We start from the raw sequence: 14,234 nt of genomic DNA on the forward strand, positions 1-14,234 counted from the left end.
AAGCCTCCCAAATTTAGAGCTTTACTACAATAACCTTAACTTGCATGCTATTCATATTAGTAGACTTTCCTTTTTCGTACATTTTGGGTACGTCTTAAATATATACTTAAACATGTTGATTCATTCAAAGGACTCAGATGTGTCCAGGAAAGTAACGAAGTGGTAAGTAAAAAGTATAAGGACAATTATTTGTGAACACCAGATTATTCCAAGATAAAGCAGTGCCTGGAAGAGTCAATGTCTGGAATGATAAGGAAGGGAAGATGGAAGGAAGAAAAGAAGTCCTTTTGTTTCCTATGAATAAGAGCTGTGAGTCTCAACAACCAAGAACAGAGATCAGAATACCAAAATAAATAAAGGAATATAGGGGTTTATGAAGAATTTAATATTGGCATATCTAAGTATTTTTGCATTTGGTATAGGAATCTTCTTTTAAAAAAGCAGCCCCTCTAGTCTATAAATTAAGTTTTACCATATTGATAATGTAATGTATTCTAGGTGCATAATATACTGAGATTTTGTGCTAAGAAATCCAGTGTTTGTTTGCTTTTAAGCTTGTATTTTGTCAAAGTGAATTTCTGTAAAAAAATCTTCCAAACTATTCAGCTAAGACTTTTTATAATGTATCTCAAATTTAAGCTTTGCTGCACCAGAATACAACCAGAATACTAACACATTATTATACACAATATAAGGATTATTGCAGTTTATTTAACACTAAAAGTAGTCATGCTTCATATACAATAAAATATATTACAATGATCATTTTTAATGCTTTATTCATTGATTAAAAGAATATACATTTAACATAAACCATACAACATCAGTCATCAGGTCAAACATTCAGCTGGTTTCCTTACAGTTTCTGTCAGGAGTTATTTTATCTGATCACATTTATAAGATAAAATCTCACCACATCTGGCATTTACACACACTGTGCCAGTGGATTCACACTACTGATGTACATATAAAATCCGCATGGTATGTGCTCACTGGAGACAAAACAGTGCACACCTGTCAAAAGGTCATTTTAATATAAGATGGTAAAACCATTTGTAAAACACATATAAACTTTTTTCCATAAATAGAATCATATCTGGACATCTGTTGCATAAATTGTGTTTCCAAAGCTTACAATAGAGCAGCCAGGTCTCAGCACTGCTGGGCACCCAGGTTGGCTACTTACTTTATTATTGCAGACTGTCCTTTAACATTAAATGCACAACATTCGTACCACTTAAAACTGGGGTCAGGTGGAAGTCTCACAGAGACCACGTCTGTACCGCGGTTGCCCTGAAACAGTTAATAGGCTTTTAAAGCCTCTCAGATATAACAAGGTTTTAAAACATACTTCATGGAATGTTCTTCATGTATCATAGCAGCTCATACCTGTGATAGAACAAGCTTTCAGTTTTTCCTTTCTTTCCTTTACATTCACTATTCACAGTGAAACAGGTGCATGTTTTTTTTTTCTTTTTTTTTTTTTTTTGTTTTGTTTTTTCAGAGTTCTGAGGTTGCTGACTGAGCCACAGCACAGCTGTGTACCACAGGTCGAAATTCGACCTTAAATATTACAATCTAGCAGTATCTGGCTGGCCAGAGTGGGCCGGCCCCTGCCAGCATGTGGGCACTTCTTCATTAAGTCTATTCTTTGGCAGCTGACACGCGTGCTGACAGAGAAAAATCCAGTGACTTGTTGCTAGGGATTTCACGACTAATGTTTTTGCAAGCATGTGTATTTACAACTCTGTGTTTTTATTTCCTTTAGGAGATTTTACTCTGAAATACAGTTTCTTTCTTCCCCCACTATTTGAAATCTGGGCTAAATGAATGTGTAATGTAATTGATGAATAAAATTATGTCAGATATAGTTAAAAAATCCAACAATTTCAGTATTCGTGTTTACGTAAATGCATTTTTTTTAAAAGGATTAAGCAATGTTCTAACCTAGTACTATACAAAATTCAAAATGGTAACTGGTGATATCAACTATTAGATATGTAATGAAAGTTAAAGTCTTGGCTTTTCTGTTACAGATAATTCATTTGGGATATTATTTATCTTCCATTTGAAATCAAAATTAATGAAATGCTATCAGAATGCATGGATGCAGTGCATTGCATATAAATCTACCAGGCTATGGATATATATCTATATATGTATAAAAATATTTTGGCTCCTGAGCTCTGAACTCTGACACACAAAGAATAAAAACGTCAAAAAGGCAGAGTAACTCAGTGAAAAATAAAGTTAGCCAGCAACCTCAGACAATCTTCGGCTGTATATCCTTAAGGTTTGGTAACAAGTCCATTAACCGTGAAAGCCCTATACATTGTCACTTTGAACTTCTAAACCAATACCCGACTACGTTCTTTGATCAAGAAGTAGAATATACATATATAATTCTATAAAGCTAATACTGATTAAACACAGCACAAAAGGATTAATTCACACTACTGAAAAAAAAACATAATAGGACCCTACTTGCATATGTAACCACAGGAATTCTACATTAAAAAAAAGCTAAATGTCTTCACTGAAGCTTTGCATCTCTCTGTAAAAATGACGATTTGGTTCAGTGAAGACACTGAGTGATTCGATGTCCATGACTGCATGCCAAGGTTGACCCAGGCCCAGGGATACCTGCTCAATAAGGTTATGCACTGGATCTACATCCTGGTCGGCCAGTTCACCTTGGTCAAAATCAATGCTTTCTTCGGTGACTTCAAGCACTTTCAGATCAGAGCCCCGAAGACGAGCAATGGCAATGAGGTTGTGTGCCCACACCGTGTAACCTGAAAAATAAACAAAAGACAACACTGTAATTTCCTTGCATTTCCTTTTCTCTTTGGTAAGTCTGTCTTTTCCTCATTCAAAGCTTCTAGAGAAGCTTCAAATTTGTATCTCACTTACCGTTTTGGTCTTTTTCCTTTAGAAATATATTGAAATTGGAAAAGGAAACATGGTTGTATAGCCCAGAAAAAAAAAGGCTAGAAGTTGTGTTCAAGAGTTACCGCTATAGGTGGTGAATTGGCAGGTGATCTAATCCTTTATGACACTACTTCATTCAGTAAAATAGACATTTAAAGTATATACAAATAAATTTTATAGCTTTGGGTAAAGATGTACCATAAGGATGAAATTTTTAGTTCATATATGCATGTATCTGTTAACCACACGTGGTAAATGTATTTTTCATTTGTGAAAAATCATCTCCTATAATGCTTTGCGAAGTTATGTAGTGACACTTTAAAGGTAAACTGTTAATTGTCAGTAGCAAATACGTAAATTATAAAACAATCATGTGAATGATATGCACCAACTTCAGAATAATAACTACTTCTGGGAAGGAATAAAGAGGAATGAATACGGGGAGCTTTAGCATAAAGAAGAAAAAGGCTTTAAAAAGACTGGCTTAAATTAACTTTTAAATAACCTGATATGTCTTTAGCCCATTGTGTTTAGCACTTTCAGTATTGATCTAGTCTTTTCTGCTACCTCTGATGACTGGCATAAAGCAAGACTTGAAAAGCAAGGCATACATTCCCAAATACAAATGCACACTAAAAAAAAAATAATGAAACAGTGCTAGTAGGATAGCTAATAAGAGAGTTTAAGACATTCTTATAGACTACTTTGTAATTATCTTACAAGTATCCGAAAAGGAAGTAAATTTATTTGTCAGAATACCAACTCTAGATCCAAATGAGAACAGGTCACATTAAAATGAAAGAAGCATATCAATGGAACCATCGTTAAAAAAATTATATACATTAATACTTTGATACCAAGAATCTAAAAGATGAGGTAGTGAGCATGAAAGAAATCATACATTCTCTTCCCCCGCACTATGTTTTAAGGGGTCGTGTGATTAGAGGAAATATATCTACCACAGGTATGTGTGCTTTCTTAGCTAAATTAATTTCACTGATTTTTTATGAAATACTGCCATTCACATGATGGACAAAAAAGTAACAGGGAAGCTGGAGCAGAACACTTGGGTTTGAATATGATTTTCCTTTTGTAAGTGATATATCTTGCAAACTTTAAAAAGCATAAGAATCTGTATATCAACTTGATACAAGATTTCTTGATACTATAAAGGTCAGTGCTATCTCTTTACTGGCAGAAAATGTTTTCGGTCTAATTCCAGTATCAGATTACAATGAACAAGATCACCTACCATGAATTGCCAGAAGAGAGAGCTTTGTGCACCTCCATGCTAATAAAACCAACGGATCTTCATTTCGGTTGTCACTAAGATCTGGAAAACCAGATGTGTCAATCACATCATTCATTAAAATAAAATGAGTGAGGAACTTGTCATATTGCCTGGATATAAGATCAACAATAGCCCCTGAAACACAAGTGATATAGCTATCAAAATGAATCCTCTCTAGTGGTATACTGGGTTTCAGAATCTTTAACATATCTTCACTCTTGATATCAAAAGCCATTATATAGACCCGAAAGCTGGTGCTCTTTCGTGACAGGGCTTTCCAATGCTCATCATTTGGCATGTTGTCCAGAGACTTGTGCATTACAGAAACATTGTGAACCAGAAGAGACAGTCGTTGCAAAGGCACATGGTTGCTATCAGTTAAGACTCTTGCCATCTCAGCTGTAAAGTCACAAAAATCCAAGGCAAGTGAGTGCAGATTCACAAATCGCTCCAGTTCAACTGCAGTAATAAGAGTGCTGTTACCAGGAATATTATTGTCCAGTAAACTGAGGTGCTCCATGGTGTTGGCAACAGCATTAGAGAGAGATGACAGTGATGTTGGGGTTACTATTTCCAGCATAAACCCACAGGACAGCCATTTCAGTTGCCTACTATTACTCAGGATTTCTTCAAACAGTTGCTGAATTCTATAAGGAAAACACATGCCACAGTGATCCCATTAACATTTAGTTCTAATCTTTTAACACTGACTTTTGAAAATAGGCAATGAAAAGCATGCAATTTTGAGATCTATTTTTCCTCATTAGGTAATTTCGATTCAACCCACAGTAAATACCATTAAAATTCACATTAAAATATAATGAATAAGGTATATTAAACATAAAGATCTATTAAACACGTAGAAATATGTTCCTCATCCAAGAAAAGCACCACTTATACCCGTTTAGTAGAAAAGTAGGATAACATACAATTTATGTTATAGCAAAGGCAAGTAGAGGAATAATTTTAAATAGCAATAATTATCCACTAAGTTACTTGATTTTTCTTAAAGATTTATGAGATGGAATGGCAGATGCTGATCACTGTATTTCACCATTAAAACATTTCCAGGACCTATGTTCCTTTTAGGAAAAAAATCATTACTCTTCTGTTTGTATCTCATAATTTCTTAGGAAAAACATATTATTAATAGTACAACCTCCTTTCCATTAACCATATAACTTACTGTTTAATTTTTTTGCCATCAGGGTCCACCTTGCTGAGGTATGTATTTGACAAACTTCCTTGCTGTTGTAGAACACTTATGTCTCCAAAAAGACTAAACTTCTGAAGGTTCCTACAAGAACAATCATTTAAAATGATTTGCTAAATAATTTATACTTAAAAAATATAAATATAAAAAATAAGAATATGCAAAGGGGATATTCTAGGAAGGTTTCTATTTTATAACTCAATTAGAATCCAGTTAAGTACTTTCAGATTGCTTTATACATATATTCAGATTTTTTTTTTTTTTTTTTTTTTTGAGACGGAGTCTTGCTCTGTCACCCAGGCTGGAGGGCAGTAGCGCGATCCCGGTTCACTGCAGGCTCCGCCTCCCGGGTTCACACCATTCTCCTGCCTCAGCCTCCCGACTAGCTGGGACTACAGGCGCCCGCCACCATGCCCGGCTAATTTTTTTGTATTTTTAGTAGAGATGGGGTTCAGATTTCTTTATACATACAAAGCAACATGATACAGGAGAAGTGGCATAAGCTTTAAAGAACAAGGACCAGGGTATAAAGATTGGTTCAGGAACTAAATTTATAATGACCATGGAAAAGTCTCTTAATGTGCGTGAGACTCAATTCTTCATCAGTAATAACAATACCTACCTTATAGGGTTTAAGGATAAATGACACAATGATATATGACAAACTATGTAAGCTCTAAATTTTATAGAGATGATAATTACAATATAAACATGTCTCAAACCAGTTAATTTAGTCAACATGTTAAATGCTCCAGGGTAAGTCACTGCCCTGAAGATATCTACTCAGTTAAGAAATATTCCTTAACTGAAATCTAAAGAGAACCTTCTCCAGTTTTATGATCAAACCATACAGCTTATGAACAACAGAAGTAGAAAACTATGTAAGGCCAGGTGCGGTGGCTCACACCTGTGGTCCTGGCACTTTGGGAGACCAAGGCGGGGGGAATCGCTTGAGGTCGGGAGTTCGAGACCAGCCTGGCCAACATGGCAAGACCTTGTCTCTAATGAAAATACAAAAATTGGCTGGGCGTGGTGGTACATGCCTGGAATCCCAGCTGAACTGGGAGGCGGAGGTTGCAGTGAGCCAAGATCATGCCACTGCACTCCAGCCTGGGAGACAGACTCTACCTAAGAAAACTAGAAAACTATGTTAAAATCTTTTGGTTTTAGATAATTTTAGCTACAAAACATATAGTTTTCTGATAGTAAAATTGTAAATAAAATAGGAGAAAACTGGATGAAGAGAAAACTCCTAAGTCCAATAATAACGAACTAGATATTTCATTTATAACATAAAACTTAGGGATAATTTCAATTAAAAAATGTATCATCTACAACAGTGATACAAGATTTAAATAAATGAAAAATACCATTTCTTTTTTTTTTTTTTTGGACACAGTGTCTCACTCTGTTGTTCAGGTTGGAGCGCAGTGGTATGATCACGGCTCACTGCAGCCTCAACCTCCTGGGCTTAAGTGATCCTTCCAGCTCAGCCTCCTGAGTAGCTGGGACCACAGGCATGTGCCACCATATGTGGATAATTTTAAATATTTTGTATTTGTTGGACTCTCAAAGTGCTGAGATTACAAGTATGAGCCACCATGTCTGGCCTGAAAAACACCATTTCTTGATGGTATGTCACATTTTCTCAAGTAAATCACCTTAATTTCACGGAAAAGCCCAATGATTCTAAAATTTAGCTTGAGGAATAATCATTAATTCGTTTATTCATTTAACCAACAATTCCCTGAGGGCCTACGAAGTACCAGGAACTGTGCTATATACTAGAGACACAATAGTGATTCAGTGCTGTGAAGGACAAGTACATGGTGCTACATATCATGGGCATATTTGACACTGTAAGGGAGAGCAGGCGTCCCTAAATTGATTTAAATGGATCTTTTTTTTTGTTTGTTTGAGATGGAGTCTCGCTCTGTCGCCCAAGCTGGAGTGCAGTGGCACGATCTCGGTTCACTGCAAGCTCCGCCTCCCGGGTTCATGCCATTCTCCTGCCTCAGCCTCCCGAGTAGCTGGGACTACAGGCGCCCGCCACCATGCCCAGCTAATTTTTTGTATTTTTAGTAGAGATGGGGTTTCACCGTGTTAGCCAGGATGGTGTCGATCTCCTGACCTCGTGATCCACCCGCCTTGGCCTCCCAAAGTGCTGGGATTACAGGCGTGAGCCACCGTGCCCGGCTTTAAATGGATCTTAAGAATAAGTGGAAGTTAACCAGGAGAAGTAAGGTAGGGAGACAGCATTATAGGGAAAAGGAAAAGCATTTGCAGCACTTGAAGAGATCAAAGCGAGCTGAAAAGAATCCAGAGTGACTGGAGTACAGAGAGTAAGTGAACATGAAATGATGACGTAGAGGTAGACAGGGTTCTATGTCAAAGAAAAAATTTTGTAAGCTGCTCAACAATCATTTTAAGAAAAGAATAGGCTGGGCGCGGTGGCTCACACCTGTAATCCCAGCACTTTGGGAGGCTGAGGTGGGTGGATCACGAGGTCAGGAGTTCGAGACCAGTCCGGCCAACATAGTGAAACCCCATGTCTAATAAAAATACAAAAAATTAGCCAGGTGTGGTGGTGTGCTCCTGTAATTCCAGCTACTTGGGAGGCTAAGGCAGGAGAATCGCGTGAACCTGGGAGATGGGAGGTTGCAGTGAGCCGAGATCACGCCATTGCGTGTGATTCTGTCTCAAAAAAAAAAAAAAAAAAGGAATAAAATGATTAAATTTCTGTCTAGAAAATGTTACTGTGGCATTAGAAGAGTCTGGAAGGATGCCAGAACCAAAGTGGGGAGATGAGTTAAGAAAGTATTTTAGTAATAGAGATGAGAGATACTGGCACCTTGAACTGGAGTTTTGTTGGTCAATGTAGAGAAAATGGACAGCCTCAAGCTACATATCAGAGGTAAAATGGACAGGAATAGGTGCTGGATTAGCTATAGGGGGTGAGGGGACAGTAGGCAAGAATAACTCCTAAATTTTCTGGGTTGTGTTAACATGGTACAGTTTCTTTCTTACTGGGATAGGGAATATTAGAAATGAAAATCAGGGAATTTTTTGGGGGGGTGTGGAGGCATGGTGGTGAAGTAAACAATGAGCACTATTTTGCACATGTTGAACCTGAGGTGCTTTTAAGATAGTCAAGTCTTCCTAATCTTAGAATAGCAATAAATTAGGAAGTGATACATTTTTGACTATATAAAAATGAAAAACTTGATATCCAACAGCATACCTCACTAAAAAGGGCAAACCAACATTGTGAGAAAAATGTGTAACAAATGCTACATTTTAAAAAATTCATATATAAAATCACCCCACATAAGAAAAATATGAAGAATCCAAGTAGTAAATAGGAAAAGGTTATAAAACAGCCAATGTAGAACATGTCAAGGAAAACATCACAGGAATTACTAATGGAAATAATCTAATTTTTCTTGACCTTTAAAAAGTTTTAGTCACTCTGGTAAATCTAATCAACTTGACATGTGATTCTAAACTGTATTTTAAAAAACATTTCAAGGAGACATCGAACAAAAAAACCGTATTTTTTTCTGTTACAGAAAGGATATAAAACTGTTCTTGTGAGAATGGCTTCCATATTAGACTCCAAAGAATACATTACTAACATATATAAGTATGTCTGCTTTTAAGGTTTTTATCCTTTCTTTATTCTAAAGTTGCTACCATATCCATAAATTATAAAGACGTTAATTTGTTTTCCATAAGTTTTCTTAAAAAGAAAAATAAAAAAAATTAAAGGCTTCTAAAAGAATGGATATTTGGCTTTGGAGAATATAAGGTATTATATAAAGTAGAAAAAATATGTCACACAATTTCTAATAATACTCAGAGGGGACAGTCATACAGTCTCAGTATTTTTCTCCTTTCAACTCAACTTTCATTTATTTGGTGGTATTAAAATACACATGTAAGAGACTTTTACTTCTTCTACAAAGAAACACTAAGGACAACGGCCTTCCCTCTGTAAACAACTATAAAACTAGAGAAAACAAAATAATTGTTTTCAGACATTGGACAATAAGCAATATAGGACTGTGATCCTGAAAGATGGGGAAAAAATGAGGTGTGTATTATAAATTGCCTCCGATTATGGTCTGGAGAGAGTTTTCAGGTTACAACATAGCCTGGTAGTCTCCCTGAATCGAGGAGACAAGAGATTTTGGGGAGTTTGCAGTCTAGAATTTTAGGGCAGAGTACCAGAGACAAACTGTACAGAAAGAGCTTCACAGATTTGCAAAGACTTCATATTACCCAGGTTTTTGGCTGAGTAATGATTTGTACATGTGTTGGGCAAAACTACAAGTCTGAAGAGAGAACCGCTGGAAAGCAGTAGAGTCCACACAGTGGTAAGGTAACACGGCTCACAACTAGGAGAAAAATCCATCAACAGAAATATACTCAGAAATGGCAGATGAAGGATTTAGGGAAAGAACTTAAATCAGCTATTAAAACTATACTCCATAAAACTATTCATCCATAAAAAGAATATGGATTGGAAAGAAAGAAGCAGAAGTGTCCTTATTTGCCAATTACATGATCATTTACACAAAAATTCTAAGGAATCTAAAAAAAGCTACTATAACTATGAGTTCAGTAAAGTTAGCAAGTTTAGTAAGGTCACAGGATACAAGGTCAATATATAAAAATCAATTGTATTTCTACATGCTAGCAATGAACATTTGGAAATTAAAATTTAAAAAACAACTTTTTACAGTAGTATCAAAAATACAAGATATTTAGGAATAAACTGAACAGAAGTATCAGTCCTATACACTGAAAACTACAAAACATTGTTGAAATAAATCAAACAAGATCTAAGTAAATGGAATGCCATGTCTGTTGGTTGGAAGTTTCAATACTGTTAACATGTCAATTCTCCCCAAATTGATCAACAGACTCACACAATCCTAATAGGTACTATGCTTTACAACAGATCTCTAGAAATTTTTCATCTTGCAGAACAGAAATTTTATACTCATTGATTAACAGTTTTCCATTTTTCCCTCCTTACAGCCCCAGCAATCACCATTTTATTCTCTGCTTCTGGGAGTTTGACTATTTTAGATACCTCACATAAGTGGAGTCATGTAGTATTTGTCCTTCTGTGACTGGCTTATTTCATGTAGCATAATGTCCTGTGGGTTCATCCAGTTTGTTGAATATAGTAGGATTTCTCTCTTTTTTAAAGGCTTAATATTATTCCATTGCATGTCTATATCACATTTTCTTTATGCATCTTTTGATGGACATTTGGGTTGTTTCCTTATATTGGCTAATGTGAATAATGGTGCAGTGAACATGGGTGTGCAGATATCTTTGAGATCCTGATTACACTCTTTTTGTATACATATCCAGAAATATTCCATTATTGGATCATACGGCAGTGCTATTTTTGATGAATCTCCATACTGCTTTCCATAGTGGCTGCACCATTTTACATTCCCACAAACAGTTGTATAAAAGCTCCAATTTTTCTACATCCTCACAAATGTCTATTTATTTAGAGACGGTCTCACTCTCGTTGCCAAGGCTGGAGTGCAGGGCACCATCTAGGCTCACTGCAGCCTCAACTTCCCAGGCTCAGGCGATTCTCTCACCTCAGCCTCCTGAGCAGCTGGGACTACAGGTGTGCGCCACCATGCCTGGCTAACTTTTTTTGTATTTTTTAGTAGAGACAGGGTTTCAGCATGTTGGCCAGGCTGGTCTTGAACTCCTGGACTCAACCAATCTGCCCATCTCAGCCTCCCAAAGTGTTGGAATTACAGGCGTGAGCCACCATGCCTGACCTTAAATTTATTTTTGATAATAGACATGCTAAGATGTGAGTTGATATCTCACTGTGGTTTTGATCTGCATTTCCATGATTAATGAAACTCAGCATCTTGCCATATGCCTGGAGGCCATTTGTATGTCTTCTTTGGAGAAATGTCTATTAGTCTTTTGCTTGTTTTAAAATTAGGTTAAATTTGTTATTTTGCTATTGAGTTATACGAGTTACCATATTTTGGATATTAACCTTTTACCTTGATAGATGGTTTGCTAATATTTAACTTCCATTTCTCTTTGTTTTTTGGACACAGAGTCTCACTCTGTGGTCCAGGCTGGAGTGCAATAGCACCATCTCGGCTCACTGCAACCTCTGGCTCCCAGATTCAAGCAATTCTCCTGCCTCAGCCTCCCAAGTAGCTGGGATTACAAGTGTGCACCACCATGCCTATTTTTTTTTTTTTTCAGTAGATACAGGTTTCACCATGTTGGCCAGGCTGGTCTTGAACTCCTGACCTCAAGTGATCTACCTGCCTCAGCCTCCTTACTTTTATCTCACATTTTTTTTCTTTTAGACAGGGTCCTGCTGTTTCCCAGCATGGAATGCAGTGGTGTAATCATGGCTTACTGTAGCCTTGATCTCCTGGGCTCAATGGATCCTCCCACCTGGGCCTCCCAAGCAGCTGGGACTACACATGCATGCTACCACACCCAGCTACTTTTTGTATTTTTTTGTACAGATGGGGTTTTATCATGTTGTCCAGGCTGGTCTCGAGCTCCTGGGCTCAAGGAATCTGCCTGCCTCGGCCTCTTCAGCTTGCTTTTTAATTTTGCTGATTGTTTCCTTTTCTGTACAGAGCTTTTATTACGATGTCCCACTTGCCTATTTTTGGTTCTGTTGCCTTTGTTTTTGGTGTCAAACCACAAAGTCATTACCAAGACCAATGCCAAGAAGCTTTCCCCCTATGTTTTCTGTGAGAAGTTTTACAGTTTCAGAATTTATATTTAAGTCTTAAATCTATTTTGCTTTGATTTCTGGCCATGGTCTACGATAGGATCCAATTTCCTTCTTTTGCCTGTGGATTTTCAGTTTACACAACACCATTTGTTGAAGAGACTATCCTTTCCCCATTTTATGTTCTTGGTACCAAAGATCAGTTAATCATAAATGAGTGGGTTTATTTATGGGGTCTCTCTTCTGCTCCACTGGTCTATACATCCATCTTTATGCTAGCACAATACTGTTTTGATTACTGCAGCTTTGTAATATATTTTGAAATTAGGAAGTATGATGCCTCCAGCTTTGTTCTTTTTCAAGACTGCTCTGGCTATTCAGGGTCTTATGTTGTTCCATATTAATTTTAGGGTTGTTTTTCTATTTCTGTAAAACATGCCATTGAGATTTTAATAGAGATTGCATTGAATCTGTAGACTGCTTTGGGTAGTATGGAGATGTTAACAATACTATTTCTTCCAGTCATGAACATGAGATGTTTTTCCATTTATTTGTATCTGCTTTAATTTCTTTTATCAGTAAAACAGAAGACTTTCACCTCTTTGGCTAAGTTTATTCCCTAAATATTTTGTTCTTTTTGATGTTACTGTCAATGGGATTTTCTTAATTTCCCGTTGAATATATAGAACTGCAACTGATTTTTGTATGTTGGTTTTGCATCCACCAACCTTGCTGAATTTATTAAGAGTTTTTTTTTTGGTGGTGTCTTTAGTGTTTTCTATATATAATGCCATGTCATCTGCAGACAATTTTAGTTTTTCTTTTCAGATTTGGATGCTTTTATTTTTCTTCCCTAATTGCTCCGGCTAGAGCTTCCAATACTTTGTTGAATAGAAGTGGCAAGAGCAGGCATCCATATCTTGTTTCTGATCTTAGAGGAAACGGTTCCGGTTTTTCACTATTGAGTATGATATTAAGCTGTGGGCTTGTCATACATGGCCATATATGGACTTTAGTATGTTGAGGTACATTCCTCCTATGGTTAATTTTTTGAGTGCTATATCATGAAAGAATGTTGAATTTTGTCAAATGCTTTTTCTGCATCTATTGACATGGTCAAGATTTTTATCCATTCTGTTACAATGTGGCGTAGTATATTTATTGATGTGCATATGGTGAACCATGCCTGCACCCCAGGGATAAATCCCATTTAGGATATACGATCCTTTTAATGTGCTGTCAAATTTAGTTTGCTATTTGTTGAGGATTTTGGTATCTATGTTTATCAGAGACACTGACCTATAGTTTTATTGTTAGTGTCCTTGTCTGGCTTTGGTATCACAGTAGTGCTAGTCACATAAAATGAGTTTAGAAGCGTTCCCTCTTCCTCAACTTTTTCGAAGAGTTGAAGAAGGACTGGCATTAATTCTTCTTCAAATATTTGGTAGAATTCACCTGTGAAGCCATCCAGTCCTGGGCTTTTCTTTTTTGGGGGAAGGTTTTTAATAATTATGGATTCACTCTCATTTGCTATTGGTCTGATGGTATTTTATATTTCCTTCATGATTCAGTTTTGGAAGGTTTATGTTTCTATGAATTTATTTATTCTTCTAGATTATTCAATTTGTTGGAAATGAAGGCTCACAGGAGTCTCTTATAATCTTATTGTATTTCTGTGGCATCAGTTGTAATGTCTCCTCTTTCACTTCGAGTCTTTTTTCTTACTCTAAAGGTTTGTCAATTTTGTTTACCTTTTCAAAAAGCAATGCCCAGCTTTGTTAGTCCTTACTACCGCTTTTTCTAGTCTGTATTTATTTCTGCTGTAATATTTATTATTTCCTTTCTTCTGCTAACTTGGGGCTTTGAACATTGTTTTTCTAATTCATTAGGGTTTAAAGTTACGTTGTATGAAATTTTTCTTTTTTCTTTTTTTTTGAGACAGAGTCTTGCACTGTCGCCAGGGCTGGAGTGCAGTGGTGTGATCTTGGCTCACTGCACCCTCCGCCTCCCAGGTTCAAGCGATTCTCCCGCCTCAGCCTCCTAAGTAG

At 36.7% G+C, this 14,234-nt stretch overlaps 1 protein-coding gene across 1 annotated transcript in view; it reads right to left on the reverse strand.

Annotated features, from left to right (window-relative positions):
- The window catches only part of FBXO33 (F-box protein 33), a 34,750-nt gene continuing 21,207 nt past the window's right edge, over positions 692-14,234 (reverse strand). Inside the window, exons 2-4 of the mRNA NM_203301.4 lie at positions 5,409-5,519; positions 4,184-4,869; positions 692-2,795 (exon numbers count right to left, since the gene is read on the reverse strand). Coding sequence (NP_976046.1) covers positions 2,524-2,795; positions 4,184-4,869; positions 5,409-5,519 — 1,069 coding nt within the window. The 3' untranslated portion in view covers positions 692-2,523. The remainder of the gene's footprint in view (positions 2,796-4,183; positions 4,870-5,408; positions 5,520-14,234) is intronic.

This window comes from Homo sapiens, chromosome 14 (genome assembly GCF_000001405.40).
Source record: "Homo sapiens chromosome 14, GRCh38.p14 Primary Assembly".
Taxonomy (NCBI): domain Eukaryota; kingdom Metazoa; phylum Chordata; class Mammalia; order Primates; family Hominidae; genus Homo; species Homo sapiens.